Source organism: Homo sapiens, chromosome 15, assembly GCF_000001405.40.
Source record: "Homo sapiens chromosome 15, GRCh38.p14 Primary Assembly".
Lineage (NCBI taxonomy): Eukaryota > Metazoa > Chordata > Mammalia > Primates > Hominidae > Homo > Homo sapiens.
This window is the reverse complement of record NC_000015.10, coordinates 90,180,880-90,197,183: the sequence shown is the minus strand read 5'-3', so window position 1 is coordinate 90,197,183 and position 16,304 is coordinate 90,180,880. Positions and strand designations below refer to the sequence as shown.

Here is a 16,304-nt window from a genome sequence, read left to right as displayed (position 1 = left end):
AACTCCTGGACTCAAGCGATCTGCCCACCTCGGCCTCCCAAAGTGCTGGGATTACAGGCATGAACCACTGTACCTGGCCAATCTTGGTTTCCTAATCCTACTCTCTAATAAGAGAACCAAGATTCTTTGGGTGAATGTAAGGGAAAGTACGACATAAACATGAGACATTTTGTTGGGCCAGAAAGCAATGATCAGAAACTAATGAGGCCATGTCCAAAGGACATCGGAACCAGCTTGATGACCAATCTGAGCATTAAAACATAATGAAGTAATGGATTAATACATTAAATTTAAAAACAATCCATTAGTCCACAGTGAAACCCAGAGAGAGAGAAAAAATAAGGGGTGAAAAGGAAGCTTTTCTTTACCAAAAAATGCTGGTTAATAATGTAGAAGAGGCCGGGTGCAGTGGCTCACGCCTGTAATCCCAGCACTTTGGGAGGCTGAGGCGGGCGGATCACGAGGTCAGGAGATCGAGACCATCCTGGCTAACATGGTGAAACCCCGTCTCTATTAAAAATACAAAAAAATTAGCTGGGCGTGGTGGCACGCACCTGTAGTCCCAGCTACTCGGGAGGCTGAGGCAGGAGAATCTCTTGAACTCAAGAGGCGGAGGTTGCAGTGATCCGAGATCACGCCACTGCACTCCAGCCTGACCGACAGCGAGACTCTGTCTCAAAAAAAAAGTAGAAGAAATGGTGATAGAATTAGAAAATCTAGATTCAAGTAAGAATCATCAGTGGATGGGAAACCATTGGGTGGAAGATTGTTACGAAACTATATGTTAACAAGGTCTGTCCCACAGATGACTTACTAATTACCAAAGGGAACATTTATCTCTAAGGGAGAGATCTCGGGGCCTCAATCTTAACCAATTAGACAAAAGTAGCATCATAGTAATGGGACTATTTGACGTAATTTTCCTCCTGATATGATGCAATAAGAAGTACAAAACAGGCTAAGCCCAGCAGCTCACGCCTGGAATCCCAGCACTTTGGGAGGCCGAGGCGGGCGGATCACGAGGTCAGGAGATCGAGACCATCCTGGCTAACACGGTGAAACCCCGTCTCTACTAAAAATACAAAAAAAAAAAAAAATTAGCCAGGCATGGTGGCGGGCGCCTGTAGTCCCAGCTACTTGGGAGGCTGAGGCAGGAGAATGTCGTGAACCCAGGAGGCAGAGCTCGCAGTGAGCCGAGATCGCGCCACTGCACTCCAGCCTGGTGACAGAGCGAGACTCCGTCTCGAAAAAAAAAAAAAGAGAAGTACAAAACAGGCTGGGCCCAGCAGCTCACGCCTGGAATCCTAGCATTTTGGGATGCCGAGGCAGGCAGACTGCCTGAGCTCAGGGGTTCGGGACCAACCTGGGCAACACGGCAAAACTCCGTCTCTACAAAAATTACAAAAATTAGCCAGGTATGGTGGCGCATGCCTGTAGTCCCAGCTACTTCGGGGGGTGAGGCAGGAGGACTGCTTGAACCTAGGAGGTCAAGGGTGCAGTGAGCTGAGATCACGCCACTGCTCTCCAGCCTGGGTGACAAAGTGAGACCCTGTCTCAAAAAAAGAAAAAACAACAAGTACAAAACATCATCAATGTTTGCAGCATTCTTCTCAAAGGTGTGTTGTAACCCAGATCTAACAATGAAAACACAATCAGACCCATCCAGCATGAGTAGTATTCTACAAGACAACTAGCCTGGACTCTTCAGAAAGGGCAATCTAGTGAGAGGCAAAACAGACAGGGGTGGGGCTGTTTTAGGTTAAGGGACTAAAAAGACATAATAATCAAATGCAGCGAGGCGAGGTGGCTGACACCTGTAATCCCAGCACTTCGGGAGGCCAAGGCAGGTGGATCACTTGAGCCCAGAAGTTCAAGACCATCCTGGGCAACAGGGTGAAACTGGTCTCTACAAAAAATACAAAATTACTCAGGCATGGTGGTGCGCACCTGTAGTCCCAGCTACTTGAAAGGCTGAGGTGGGAGGATCACCTAAGCCCAGGAGGTCAAAGCTGCAGGGAGCCATGCTGTTGCACTCCAGCCTAAGAGACAGAATGAGACCCTGTCTAAAAAAAAACAAACAAAATCAATAGCAACGTGTGAACCTTGATTGAAGATTGAATGTTGGAAAAAAAAAAAAAGCCATGGAGCAATTGGGGAAATTTTAATATGGACTGTGTATTAGATGATATTATGGCATTCTTCATTTTTTTAGCTATGATAATGGCATTTCTCAGATGTGATTAAGTCCTGGTCTTTCAGAGACACCTGCTGAAGCTTTACAGTTGAAATGTCACGATGTCTACAACTTACTTTCAAATGATTCAGCAAAAACAAATGTGCATATATATGTATGTGCATGTACTAGAGAGAAAGAACATGAATGTGACTGGCAAAAACTGGTCAATATAGGTGAAGAGTTATTGGGTGTTTTTGTACTAATCTTTCCATTTAAAATTTTGAGTGATTAAACAAAAATGGGTGACAGCCAGGCACGGTGGCTCACACCTATAATCCCAGCACTTTGGGAGCCTGAAAATAAGTAAGTAAATAAATAAATGGGTGAGACAGAGTCACAAACGGAGCCCAATGGCACGCCACTAGAGACCTCCATCAAGGTTAGAACAGATCAATATGTTTTTTGTTTTTTTTTTGAGATGGTGTTTCACTCTTGTTGCCCAGGCTGGAGTGCAATGGCATGATATCAGCTCACTGCAACCTCTGCCTCGTGGGTTCAAGCGATTCTCCTGCCTCAGCCTCCCGAGTAGCTGGGATTACAAACATGCGCCACCACGCCCGGCTAATTTTGTATTTTTAGTAGAGACGAGGTTTCACCATGTTGGTCACGGCTGGTCTCGAACTTTTGACCTCAGGTGAGCCACCTGCCTTGGCCTCCCAAAGTACTGGGATTACAGGTGTGAGCCACCACGCCTGGCCTGATCAATATCTTTTATAGGCTGAACAACTAGCTATGTGTCCTCCTAACTGCACTGTTCAGCCCACATTTCTCCATATTATCCATAAGACTATTATGGGCTGAAAGCAGTGGCTCATTGCCCGTAATCTGAGCACTTTAGGAGGCTGAGGTGGGCGCATCACCTGAGGTCAGGAGTTCGAAACCAGCCTGGCCAACATGATGAAACGCTGTCTCTACTAAAAATATGAAAATTAGCCGGGCGTGGTGGTGCACACCTATAATCCCAGCTACTCAGGAGGCTGAGGCAGGAGAATCGCTTGAACCCGGGAGACAGAGGTTGTAGTGAGCCAAGATGGCGCCACTGTGCTCCAGCCTGGGCACAAGAGTGAAACTCCGTCCCCCCGACCAACCCAAAAAAAAAAAAAGAATATTATGAAAAAGATTGCAAGAAATCTTGTCAAAGTCAAGGTACTAGCTACATTTCCTTCTTCTACCTTCTGCCTACTGCACTCACCTAGAACAGTACCTGATGTTGGCCACATGCTCAATCACTATTTGTTGAGTCCCTGAATCTCCACATCAAGCAGATCCTAAAATGGCAGTGGGGCTGCTTTGCCCTGGTGTCTTGGCAACACATGAGTTGTGTGACTGCTGTGCTCATCTCAGAGCAGAGGAGACAGGGGCTGATGCGGCCTCACTAAGCGGATAATCATATCCTGCTCAAATGCTTCCAATATGTCTTATGTCGACTGGGCAGCAAGTCCTTTGAGGACAGTGACAGGACTTCCATCTTCCAAATCCCCACTGCCTTGCATGGCACTCTAGTAGGAACTCCACAGGGCTGACAAAATGAGGGTCCCAGCTGTCAGCCTGGAGAAGAGCCCTCGAATCCACGCCCCCAGCACAGCAGCTTTGGTCTTTGCGGGCTCCCCTTTCTTCCGTTAGTGTGCTGATGTGTTCTCCCCAGACTAGAAACCACACGAGGACACTGACAGAGAAAAATCTCCTGTGAGCAGACTTCCTGCGAGCGGGAGCGGTTCCCAAGCCAACGATGTGTCTCCTGTTCCCCTTTGCCACTCTTGGATGTTGGCGAGTCTTTCTCAGCCAGAATGCCAGTGTTTATAAAGAGCTCAGGAGGCAGCTTGGAAAGGGAGTACCAAAATAAGAGACGAAGAGAAAAGCACTGCTTCCTCCGTGCCTTGGCCAGCAAAATGAAGTCATCATCAAAGCTGGCCTCTTCTCCATCCACACTCACACGCTCTGGCACCTCCTCCCCATGGACCTTCCTCATTTTTCTCTCTCTCATACACACACACATACATACACAAGGACAGAAGCACAAGAATGTGTATAGGAATCCATTATAAAGAGGCCGAAACGAGGCCAGGCGCAGTGGCTCATGCCTGTAACCCCAGCACTTTGGGAGGCCAAGGCGGGAGGATCACAAGGTCAGGAGTTTGAGACCAGCCTGGCCAATATGGCAAAACCCCATCTCTACTAAAAGTACAAAAATTAGCCAGGCATGGTGGCGTGAGGCTGTAATCCCTGCTACTCGGGAGGCTGAGGCAGGAGAATTGCTTGAACCCAGGAGGCGGAGGCTGCAGTGAGCCAAGATCGTGCCACTGCACTCCAGCCTGGGTGACAAGAGCAAGATTCCATCTCAAAAAAAAAAAAAAAAAAAAAGCTACAAGGGAAAGAAAATAAAGGGAAGCATGGCTAAAAGTAAAAAGCAAATGAACACACATCCCTGCTGCTTCTCTACCCTGCCCAGTACAAAGGGAACAGATGCAGGGCAAGTGCCAGCAGTGTCCAGGCTACATCTGGCCTCCCAAGTGATCAATACCCATTAATCATCCATGGGTACAGCCTCTGCCCAGCTGCATGCAGGCCATGTCCTTGGGCATGGATGGTCCCTGCCAGGCGGCTCCTGGCCAGGTCTGCCTGCTCTAATTCCCACCCAGGGGAACCTGGCTCTGGAGCTCCCACAGTTCTACTCTGGGAGTTGTTGCTTTGTTTGCTGGCTGTGGGGGAGGGGCCTCCTGCCAAGCCCAGTGGAGCTTGAACCCAAAGGTCCCACCCGCCCCCTCCTGGGGTAGCACTCAAGCTCCTCCCCATTCTCGGGTGCTGACTGGCAGGCTGCCCAGCAAGGCCTCGCAGACATACACTGGCTGCAGCCCAGCTCTCCAGGCCTTGGCCCCCCACCACCATCCCCTTGTAGCCCTGAGCTCTCCTCTTATGCCAACCTGCAGCTGCAGCTCTCCACCCTGCCCTGGCTGGGCATGCTGCTGGTGTCTTCTCCCCAGGGGCTGGGCAGCAGCTCAGCTGCAGCATCAGTACATGTTGAAGAGGAAGCGACACCAGCTGGCACACCCTGTGTATTCTTTCAAATCAGCCAATGGCTGCCAAGTCCTCAGGGCTGGGAGCTTCCTTGGGGCAGCGCCTTCTGCAGCAGAGGGCATCCACCCCGGGTCAGCACTTACACTGCCTTCAAAACTCACTGGCAGCTTTTACCCAGGGTCTGGCAACAGATGTAAATAAATGGCTTCATCTCCGTTCCCCAAACCATTTTCCCCGCTACCGGCCTCTTGTTTTTCTTGCTCCTGGAAGTGGTAGAATCCAGTGGTTGAGCACACAGGTTCTTCTGTCAGAAGAATTCACTACCTTCCATATTTTGTGGACTTTTAGCAAGCCACACAATCACTCTGAACCTCAGCTTCTTCATCTAGGACGGAGTGCTATGAACAGCACTTCATGGGTGGCTGGAGAGAGTACATATAAAGCCACGGGCAACACTGGCATGTAGTGAATGCTCAGTGAGCAAGGCCATGCCTGCTATGTTATTGGTTCACCTCCCCATGAAAGTTGCCCCATGGCGTCAACAACTCTGAAGTATCTTAGATGCCCATCTCTGAGGACCCCCTTCTGGGTACTCCCTCAAGTTCAGCCACCTCCTGCAAAGCTGGTGCTGAGGCTGCAACTCTCATGGGGAGAAAGAACCGGCCCGCCCAGCCCAAGTCCCAGGTGCGTCCGCTGTGGTGAGGAGCCTGACACCCAGCACCACCCCCACTGGGGCCTGTTGGGGCCTGAGCTGGCCACTCCCTGGGAGGGGATCCCTCCGCCCCACAGGGCTGTGGGGCAATCAGCAGGGCTCAACCTGTCCCTGCCCTGACAGGGTAGAACATGAAGTTGCCACTGTCACTCCTCTGCTCCCCCAATATGAGTTCAGGAGGCGCTGTCTGCCTCTGCTTTTGCACCCACTCGCCTGTCCAGGGGAGACCAGATGGGCAACATAGGAAGACCCGGTCTCTACAAAAAATAAATTAAAAATTAGCCAGGTGTGGTGGTGTGCTCCTGTGGTCCCAGCTACTTGGAAGGTTGAGGTGCAAGGATCACTTGAACCTGAGAGGTAGAGGCTGCAATGAGTCACGATGGTACCTCCAGCTTGGGTGACAGAGCAAGACACTGACACACACACATACACACACATGCACACAGAGCAAGACACTGACACAGACACAGAGCAAGACACACACAGACACACACAGACACACACCCTGGTTCCAAAGATCCCATGAAGTGAGGAATCTACCTCCCCATTTGCTATCGAGTTATTCCCTCTAAAATCCCAGTCTGAGCACCAGACCCCTGTGAGGGGAAAAAGGAACAGGCCAGGGCCCTCCCTCCACCTCAGGAAACCAACCTTCCTTCCCAAAGGCCCAAGGCTCTCCCCTCTGCCTCTTCCTTCCCAGGGAGGAGGAGCTCTCTGACCCTGGAGTTTCCCCATCACCTCAGGTCACCTGGTGGCTGCCACTCTTACTCCCAGACAGAGCCTTGCTCTTGGTTCTGATGCTGATCCCAGAGAGTGGGCAGGAACAGGTATGCCTAGGTGGGTAGCGGGGATGCACAGACGGGTTGCCACGGATCTCCTAAGGCTCTGTAGGCTGTACTCTCACCCTGCTTTGCCAGGGTGGAGGTTCTGAGGAATGCACCACCTGTGGCAGTGTGCCCACTTGCCACCCTAAAGCAGTGGTATTAGGAGACAACACTCACAGAAAGCTGATGTGAGGGTGGCACCAAAGATCCATGCCTGGATAGGAATCTCACACAGCAGCCACCCTGCAGCACCATTTATGCACTGTGAATGAGGGTCCGGCTGGTGGGCACCACACCAGGGACTCTGGAGCCCACAAGGTTCTGAGTGAGCCCCAGCTTGGCCCTAGCAGGAGAGTGGGCTCTAAGAGGACGCACCCACGGGGCCACATGTGCTTATCTCTAGCCGTCTCATCTTTTGGTTTCCACAAACCCCTTGAAAGACGGCTGACCCTGCTTGCTCCTCCCAGCCACCTCTTCTATGAATGCTGCCTGAGTTCTTTCACTATAGCCTGTGAGCAGTGCAGCAGAGCAGGGACCCCCTTCACCACACGGGTGGGCTTCAGGGAGCTGTGAACGCCAAGAATGAGATGCCATTTCAGGAGAGAGGGAATCAGAGCTTTCATTTAATTTCAAAAGCTCCTTGCTACCAGCCCCCACTCCCCGCCAAAAAAAGTAAAGAACCATTTCTCTAAGGTGCGTTAGTCTGCAGACACAAGGAACTTTCAAAATTAGCCTTTATCAGAAAAAAAGAAATTATACCTCAGTTTGGAATAGTTATATAACCTTGACATGAAATATTTGGCAAATTCTTTCCAGCTACATCAAAGTTGACATTTATATAGCTAATTAATATTTATTGAGCACCTACTATAAGTGAGGATTGTGCCAAATTTTTACATTCAATCATTTACTTAATTCTCACTACAGGGTGAGATATCAGTTATTATTGCCATTTCAGAAGTGAGAAATTGGGGCATAGAGAGGTTCCAGGACTTACTAAGGTCACACAAGTGACAAGTCAGGACTAGGACCACAACTCAGATCTGCTGACTCCAGAACCCATATGGATATTCAACCTATAGTCAGAAATCAACCACGTTTTGTCTCAAGTTATAGCCATCCACCTCTTCTGATAATATAAGCCAATGTTTATCCTTCCTTCTTTCCTTCCCTCCCTCCTTCCTACCTTTTCTTCCTTCCTTCACTTCTCTCCTCTCCCTTCCTTCCCTTTTCTTCCTGCCCTCGCTCACTTCCTCCTTTTCCTTCCTCCCCCCCACTTCCTTCTTTCATTCATGCAACACATATTTCTTGTGCACTTGCTGCCTTCTAAGTATTGCTCAAGTTTAAGGAAACTGACGTGGTTGCTGCCTTCACAGAGCTTAGTTTATCAGGATCCTTTAAACTGTTCTTTCAGAGAATATTCATCCTGGCTGGGCGCGGTGGCTCATGCCTATAATCCCAGCACTTTGGGAGGCTGAGGCGGGCGGATCACGAGGTCAGGAGATCGTAGACCATCCTGGCTAACATGGTGAAACCCCGTCTCTACTAAAAATACAAAAAAATTAGCCGGGCGTGGTGGTGGGTGCCTGTAGTCCCAGCTACTCGGGAGGCTGAGGCAGAAGAATGGCATGAATCCGGGGGGCGGAGCTTGCAGTGAGCCGAGATAGCGCCACTGCACCCAGAGTGAGCGAGACTCTGTCTCAAAAAACAAACAAAAAAAGACAATACGTATCCTGATCTACATTTATTTTTATTTATTTATTTATTTTGAGACGGAGTCTTGTTCTGTCGTCCAGGCTGGAGTGCAGTGGTGCGATCTCGGCTCACTGCAGCCTCCGCCTCCCAGGTTCCAGCAACTCTCCTGCTTCAGCCTCCCGGGTAGCTGGGATTACAGGCATGCGCCACCATGCCTGGCTAATTTTTGTATTTTTAGTAGAGACAGGGTTTCACCATGTTGGCCAGCCTGGTCTTGAACCCCTGACCTCAGGTGATCCGCCCACCTCGGCCTCCCAAAATGCTAGGATTACAGGCATAAGCCACCTCGCCTGGCTACTTTTATTTTATTTTATTTTTGAGACAGTGTCTCACTGTGCCACCCAAGCTGGAATGCAGTGGCAGGATGATTGATGGCTCACTGAAGCCTCAACCTCCCTTGGCTCAGGTGATCCTTCTACCTCAGCGCCCTGGATAGCTGACACTACAGGCATGGGCCACCATGCTCGGCTAATTTTTGTATTTTTTGTAGAGACTGAGTTTCACCATGTTGCCCAGGCTGGTCTCGAACTCCTGGACTCAAGCGATCCACCCACCTTGGCCTCCCAAAGTGCTGGGATTACAGGCATGAGCCACCATGCCTGACCCACGTTTCTTTTCTTTCTTTTTTTTTTTTTTTGAGATGGAGTCTCATTCTGTCACCCAGGCTGGAGTGCAATGGCATGATCTCAGCTCACTGCAACCTCCGCCTCCTGGGTTCAAGCGATTCTCTTGCCTCAGCCTCCTGAGTAGCTGGGATTACAGGCATGCACCACCATGCCCGGCTAATTTTTGTATTTTTAGTAGAGACAAGATTTCACCATATTGGTCAGGCTGGTCTCAATCTCCTGACCTCGTGATCTGCCTGCCTCGGCCTCCCAAAATGCTGGGATTACAGGCGTGGGTCACTGCACCCAGCCCCCACCTTTCTTTAGACACTTTCACTCCCTTATGCTTTGTTTCCAACAAAGGTAGTGGCCACGGCCAACTTGGCAGAGTTCTAGAAGTGCTCCCAGGCTAGAATCCTGCTGTTTTCAACTAATTTCCAGAGTTGCTCCTGCGAGTTCCCTCTGCACTCTGCTCAGATTCTTATTAGGACCTCATTATGCTGCAGTGAAATACTCACTTACACATCACATCCCTCTCTTCCCTTCTCTTCTACAAGCTCCTTGAATGCAGGGACAAGGCCTGCCTAACTCAGCTTTTTCATCTCCAGCCCCAGGACAGAACATGGAAACAGCAGGTACCCAGCAAATGTCTTCTGCTCTAGCTGTCTCAAATCATTTCCAAAGGATTCATTCACGTTTTCCTTCCTGGATCTTTTCCCCCACTTTTCTGTTATCCCTTTCAAAGGAAACAGCACCACACGGATAGAGGCAGGACTAGAGTCCCATTTCCCTGCTTTAGGGAAGCTAAACAGTTTTCTTGCTTAGCTCCAGGCTCACCAGCTTTGCTGGCTTCAGAAGAGATGGTATTTTGGAGAGTGGCTGAATGCTTGGCTCCCAGGGACTTACTTTGGACCATCCTGTCCAATGTAGTCAGATACTACATTAAAGCAAGAGCCTCAAGGCACAAGACCCATGCAGCGGGGAGACTCAGCTCTCCCCAAGGCACAAGTCTCCGTTTCCCATCTTTAGTTCAACTGTTGCCAATGTCCCCAATCTTTATTTATTTTATTTTTATTTTTTTGTTTTTTATTATTATTATTTTTTGAGACGGAGTCTTGCTCTGTCGCCCAGGCTGGAGTGCAGTGGTGCAATCTCGGCTCACTGCAAGCTCCGCCTCGCGGGTTCACACCATTCTTCTGTCTCAGCCTCGCGAGTAGCTGGGACTACAGGCGCCCACCACCACGTCTGGCTAATTTTTTGTATTTTTAGTAGAGACGGGGTTTCACTGTGTTAGCCAGGATGGTCTTGATCTCCTGACCTCTCCGCCCATCTCGGCCTCCCAAAGTGCTGGGATTACAGGCGTGAGCCACCGTGCCTGGCCTTTATTTTTATTATTTTATTTTTTGTTTGCTTTTTGAGATGGAGTTTCACTCTTGTTGTCCAGGCTGGAATGCAATCACAATCTCGGCTGGCTCAGGGAACCTCCGCCTCCCAGATTCAAGCGATTCTCCTGCCTCAGCCTCCCAAGTCGCTGCGATTACAGGCATGCGCCACCATGCCCAGCTAATTTTGTGTTTTTACTAGAGACGAGGTTTCACCACATTGACCAGGCTGGTTTCAAACTCCTGAGCTCAGGTGATCCGCCTGCCTCGACCTCCCAAAGTGCTGGGATTACAGGCGTGAGCCACCATGCCTGGCCAATGTCCCCATATGGAGATTACCTGTCACCAACAGTTTGAGCCCCAGGTGCAAGGAGACATATCCTAGATTTTCCTGAGCTTCAGAAGGTATAATCTCCAAAAAGGCCAGGCGTGGTGGCTCAAGCCTATAAACCAGGCACATTGGGAGGCCAAAGTGGGCGGATCACTTGAGCTCAGGAGTTGGAGACCAGCCTAGCCAACATGGTGAAACCCTGTCTCTACTAAAAATACAAAAATTAGCTTGGCATGGTGGCACACGCCTGTAGTCCCAGCTACTCAGGAGGCTGAGGCAGAAGAGTCACTTGAGCCAGGGAGGTGGAGGTTGCGGTGAGCCAAGATCGCGCTACTGCACTGTAGCCTGGAGGATAGAGCAAGACTCCGTCTCAAAAAAAAAAAAAAAAAAAAAAAAAAATCACCAAAAGAAACGGCCATGGCCTGAGTTCAAATCCTGACCTTCCCACTAACTCACTGTCATCTTGGGAAGCGATTTAATCTCTCTGGCTTCAGTTTTCCTTATGAAAATGAGGGGGGATGGGCCAAGGTGATTTCTACATCTTTTCCAGTTCTAAGGCATTATGGGGAAAAAAACTTTTTAAAAGTTTGTATGCTTCCCGCACAAAATTTTAAGGCATTTCAACCTTTAGAGGAATCCTGTGTTTAACTCAAATAACATACCCATATTACAGGTGAGGAAATGTGGGCAGAGATTTGATGACCTTCCCGAGATGACCCAGGGCTCCTTCGCCTTTCTGCTAGACCAGAATAACTCCCGAGTAGCCGCAACTGCAGCTTCATGCCCAGAACCTCAACTTCCTTCTCCTTCTAGCCTTCTCCTTCTAGCACCTTGGTGCTCAGTGAGAAGAAAGAAGCCATGACAAAGGGCCTAACTCGGAGGTCATATCCACGACCATTCCGCAGGGGCCCAGGCCTTTTCCGAATTCCAAATGACTTCCCCCCAGGACCAGGTCCCGGGTTTAGGAGTAGGGGTGGTGCACTGGCGCGATGTGAACGCTGCTCAAAGGCCCCCGGTGGCCATGGGAACGCGGGCCCAGCCTCCTGCGCTGCCATGGCAACAGGCTCCCCGGGCGGCGGGCCCCAGTGCCCATCAGAGCGTGCAGGTGGCGCCTTCTGGGGAGAGGGGCCGGGCGGGAGGTGCGGGTGCAAGGGTGGGGGCAGCGGCTGCGCGGCGGTTTTCGCCTGGTCCGCCACCTCCCGGGCAGCGGCTCCCACCTCGCCAGGCACCCCCCGCGCCTACCTGGAGTGAGTCAGGGTCAGCGCACGGTCATCGCCCCCCGCGGGGCCGCTCTTCCTGGAGTGTCCACTGACTCGTCCCCCTTGCCAGGCCGGCCCGGCGCAGCCCCTGGGGACCCGGAGTCTCGGGCGCACAGCCTCAGTCCGGCGCGGCGTCCCCGGAAATGCTGGGCCCCCGCCAAGCCCCGCCCAGCCCCGCCCCGCTCTGCCCGTGTTTACGGGAATTGTCCAGAGGGCGCCTCCGGGATTTGCCTGATGCGGGCCGTGCCCCCCGCCCCACCACCGCCACCGGCCCCCGGCCATTTGCACCAACGATGGACTCGATGCCACGACCACCCTGGCCTGTCGGGTCCGCCTCCCCACGACCGCTGGTCGGCCCAAGTTAGCCGTGGAGCCCAAGGGACTGTGCGGTCCTTCACCTTGGGAGACTCGGCCTCGCTGGACCTGGGCCACAGGGGGCGGCCTCACTAGCTGGAGTCTGGGCTGGCCCGGGTTGAAATCCTAGATCCACTCTTACCTAACTGGCTGTGTTACGTAGGACGAGTTCCTTAACCTCTCTGAGCCTGGAGTTTTTCATCTGTAAAGTGGGCATCAGAACACTAGAGATCTCACAAGGCTGTGATGGGAAATGCAATGGTGGAGGCACACACCTGGCACATGGTCAGCTCTCAAGAATGGTAATATTGTTTACAGAAGGAGGCAAGTGAGAGAGAGGAGGGCAGATCCACACTCTGTGAAACCACCCACGTCTCCACCCGAGATAAATGCTGCTCACTGCTCCCTTAACATGCAGTGGGCGGGCGTGCTCAGAGAGTAAAACGAAACGGAGATCTGCAGGAGGGGTGAAAGATAGGGTTATAAATATCCCGCATTTATGAGGTGACCTTGGCTCCTCCCTCTCCACTCTTGCGTCCCGGTGCTATCTTCCAGGAAAGCAACGGCAGCTTTCAGGGCGGTTACTGAAACAACCAGTTCTGGACTTGTAAGTGGCTGAGCTGGCCTGAACTGACGGGTCAAGGGACTGCAGAAACCAGAGGCCAAGTGGCAGCCCGTTCCAGGGCCGGGCAGGCCTGGCCTAAGTGTACATTGTCCTTCTGCAGCCTCTCCTCTCCGGGAATTGCTGCCTAGCTCCTCCAGAAAAAGAAAAAAGTGGTTACTTTTGTTACCTCTCTATAAAAGTAAACACATATTTAGTACAAGAAAGTTAGACAACAGAAAAACACAATTAAAAATAATATCACTCATAATTTCATTTTACCTACACATTGGCATCAACCTTGTTAATTTTTTTTTTTCCGAGACGGAGTCTTGCTCTGTCACCCAGGCTGGAGTGCAGTGGCTCGATCTCAGCTCACTGCAACCTCTGCCTCCCGGGTTCAAGCAATTCTCCTGCCTCAGCCTCCCAAGTAGCTGGGATTACAGGTGTCCGCCACTGCACCTGACTAATTTTTGTATTTTTAGTAGAGACAGGGTTTCACAATATTGGACAGGCTGGTCTCGAACTCCTGACCTCGTGACCCACCCGCCTTGGCCCCCCAAAGTGCTGGGATTACAGGCGTGAGCCACCACACCCGGCCGTCAGCGTTAATATTTTTTAAAACTTTTTAAAAATTAAGATTAATTTGCATGTAGTAAACTGCACAAATCTTAGGTATACTGGTGTTAATATTTTGGTGAATATCTTCCTGTGTGTTTCCTATGCATAATTATACACTTACATCTTTTAGAAAAAAGATTATTCAATACATACTGTTTTCTAACTTTTACTTAGGACAGCATTCTATTATGTTTTTCTTTTCTTGTTTTTGAGATGGAGTCTCTCTCTTGTTGCACGGGCTGGAGTGCAGCGGTGCGATTTCGGCTCACTGTAACCTCCACCTCCCAGATTCAAGCGATTCTCCTGCCTCAGTCTCCCAAGTAGGTGGGATTACAGGCACCCACCACCACACCCAGATAATTTTTGTATTTTTAATAGAGACGGGGTTTCACCACGTTGGCCAGGCTGGTCTCGAACTTCTGACCTCAAGTGATCTGCCTGCCTTGCCTCCCAAAGTGCTGGGATTACAGGTGTGAGCCACAGCACCCGGCCTATATCGCATTTTTCTATAACATTAAAAATTCTTGCCGGGTGCAGTGGCTCACGCCTGTAATCCCAACTCTTTAGGAGGCTGAGGTGGGCGGATCACAAGGTCAGGAGTTCAAGATCAACCTGACCAACCCCGTCTCTACTGAAAATACATGGGGTATTCAGTAGAGATGGGGTGAAGCCCCGTCTCTACTTAAAATACAAAAATTAGCAGGGCATGGTGGTGGGCACCTGTAATCCCAGCTACTCAGGAGGCTGAAGCAGGAGAATCGCTTGAACCCGGGAAGCAGAGGTTGCAGTGAGCTGAGATCACACCACTGCACTCCAGCGTGGGCAACAGAGTGAGAGTCCGTCTCAAAATAAATAAATAAATAAATAAATAAATAAATAAATAAATAAATGTAAGAATTCTTGCATACTTTCATTTTAATGTATTCTATCACACGAATGTACCGTACATTTTTAACCAAGTGGATATTTAAGTTGTTTCTAATTGTTTATTATCTTAAGTAATGTTGAGATGAGCATCCTTGTCAATAAACCTTTATGCACTTCCTGAATTGTTTCCTTTTGCCCCTTATATTCTTTCTTCCTCCTTATAGTCATCCAATTAGTAGCAATATGTACTGCGTTTATAACTAAGGCCATGAACTTGTGCAAACGGCTTTTAAAATCCTCTCAATCCTCTTATGAGCTCTGCCTTTCAAACAGTGCTGGGGTGGGGACACTCCTTGCTAAGGATATGGAAAGCACAGCTAAATTAGGGGTCTTGCCTTAGGTCACCCAGCACCTGCAAGCTGTGCCTTGCAAGAGGCGATGTTAAAAATCAGCACTTCTTTCTCCATAACACCCTCTAGAAAAAATATTAACATAATTAAAACAGATTTAATAAAAATTAAAATCAGCACTTCCAATTTTCCAGCACACAGAGCACCTTGGGAGCACCACTGCTCAGAGAAGCACCTGGAAACTAGGACTCCCCCGTGGGGCCTCAGAGCTCCTCAGGGATTCAGCTAGTGGTCCCCAGACCAGAAGAGTACTTTCCACTGCCCACTCCGGCACCTTCTCCCTCCTCCCTTTTCCTGCTCCTTCTCCTCCTCCAACCTCCTCCAGTCTTCTATTGAACAAAGGGAAAAATCTTTAAATAAAGATTTTTGAATCTTTATTTGAAATAAAGCCCTGTCTTTAATGTTATTGATCCCCCCTTCTCTCATCTCCTCCCCCGACCCCCAACACACATACCCTTTCCTCTCTGCAGGACCTCAGGTGCAGAGAAGTTTGACTTAATACCTTTTCGGTTCACAGCACATTATTATCATTTGTCTGCACAGGGACCCTTGATTAATGTAGCTGTTTATTTCATTCCTCCTCCCGCTCCCTCTCCTGATAGAAAACCATTAAGGTGTTTAATATACATGTTTTTGTTCTTACATGTTCTTTAAAATGTGTAATTTTAGAATTAGATACATGTTTTTGTTAACTTTTTTTTTTTTTTTTTTGAGACGGAGTCTTGCTCTGCAGCCAGGCTGGAGTGCAGGGGCACCATCTCGGCTCACTGCAACCTCTGCCTCCTGGGTTCAAGCGATTCTCCTGCCTCAGCCTCCCAAGTAGCTGGGACTACAGGGACCCGCCACCATGTCTGGCTAATTTTTTTTGTATTTTTAGTAGAGACAGCGTTTCACCATGTTGGCCAGGATGGTCTCGATCTCCTCACCTCGTGATCTGCCCGCCTCAGCTTCCCAAAGTGCTGGGATTACAGGTGTGAGCCGCCGGGCCTGGCCTGTTAACTTTTTAATTTTGAAATAATTATGGATTCAGAGGAAGTTGCAAAATAGTACATAGTGTCCCATGAACACTTCACCAGCTTTCCCCAGTGATGAACTTATATAATTGTAGTAGAATAGCAAAATCAAGAAATTGACATTGGTCAATGCTGTAAATAGACTGCAGACCTTATCGTTCAGTTTTTGCATGCACTTATTTGTGCCTGCACATATATATGTGCGTTTAGTTTTATGTAACTTGAACCCATGAATGCATTTGTGTACCGACCACCACCATCAAGAACTGTTCCATCCCTGTGGGGTACTCCTTCACGGTACCTCTTTATAGTCACACTC

The 16,304-nt window shown here is 49.6% G+C and overlaps 1 protein-coding gene across 5 annotated transcripts in view, besides 8 other annotated features; it reads right to left on the bottom strand.

Moving 5' to 3' along the window:
* SEMA4B (semaphorin 4B) overlaps nucleotides 1-12,264 on the bottom strand; it is a 44,742-nt gene extending 32,478 nt beyond the window's left edge. For 4 of the 5 annotated variants that reach the window (NM_001393916.1, NM_020210.5, NM_001324030.3 and 1 more), the window contains exon 1: nucleotides 12,103-12,264. The gene's annotated coding sequence lies outside the window, so the exon portion shown is untranslated. Of the gene's footprint in view, nucleotides 1-5,157; nucleotides 5,264-12,102 lie in introns of those variants that run through there. The other variant, NM_001324031.4, reaches the window with a different exon arrangement.
* Nucleotides 4,853-4,952: an enhancer, noted in NCBI's record as "active region_10067". NCBI's record gives its function as "activates an Ori minimal core promoter by ATAC-STARR-seq in GM12878 lymphoblastoid cells {active_cell/tissue: GM12878}" and the evidence as "EXISTENCE:reporter gene assay evidence [ECO:0000049][PMID:35858748]".
* Nucleotides 5,253-5,552: an enhancer, noted in NCBI's record as "active region_10066". NCBI's record gives its function as "activates an Ori minimal core promoter by ATAC-STARR-seq in GM12878 lymphoblastoid cells {active_cell/tissue: GM12878}" and the evidence as "EXISTENCE:reporter gene assay evidence [ECO:0000049][PMID:35858748]".
* Nucleotides 5,753-5,842: an enhancer, noted in NCBI's record as "active region_10065". NCBI's record gives its function as "activates an Ori minimal core promoter by ATAC-STARR-seq in GM12878 lymphoblastoid cells {active_cell/tissue: GM12878}" and the evidence as "EXISTENCE:reporter gene assay evidence [ECO:0000049][PMID:35858748]".
* Nucleotides 11,851-11,940: a silencer, noted in NCBI's record as "silent region_6815". NCBI's record gives its function as "represses an Ori minimal core promoter by ATAC-STARR-seq in GM12878 lymphoblastoid cells {active_cell/tissue: GM12878}" and the evidence as "EXISTENCE:reporter gene assay evidence [ECO:0000049][PMID:35858748]".
* Nucleotides 11,951-12,350: a silencer, noted in NCBI's record as "silent region_6814". NCBI's record gives its function as "represses an Ori minimal core promoter by ATAC-STARR-seq in GM12878 lymphoblastoid cells {active_cell/tissue: GM12878}" and the evidence as "EXISTENCE:reporter gene assay evidence [ECO:0000049][PMID:35858748]".
* Nucleotides 11,951-12,954: a biological region, named in NCBI's record as "H3K27ac hESC enhancer GRCh37_chr15:90727462-90728195".
* Nucleotides 12,221-12,954: an enhancer, noted in NCBI's record as "H3K27ac hESC enhancer chr15:90727462-90728195 (GRCh37/hg19 assembly coordinates)". NCBI's record gives its function as "activates a minimal SCP1, AML or CMV promoter by ChIP-STARR-seq in primed H9 embryonic stem cells {active_cell/tissue: H9 hESC(primed)}" and the evidence as "EXISTENCE:reporter gene assay evidence [ECO:0000049][PMID:30033119]".
* Nucleotides 12,531-12,610: an enhancer, noted in NCBI's record as "active region_10064". NCBI's record gives its function as "activates an Ori minimal core promoter by ATAC-STARR-seq in GM12878 lymphoblastoid cells {active_cell/tissue: GM12878}" and the evidence as "EXISTENCE:reporter gene assay evidence [ECO:0000049][PMID:35858748]".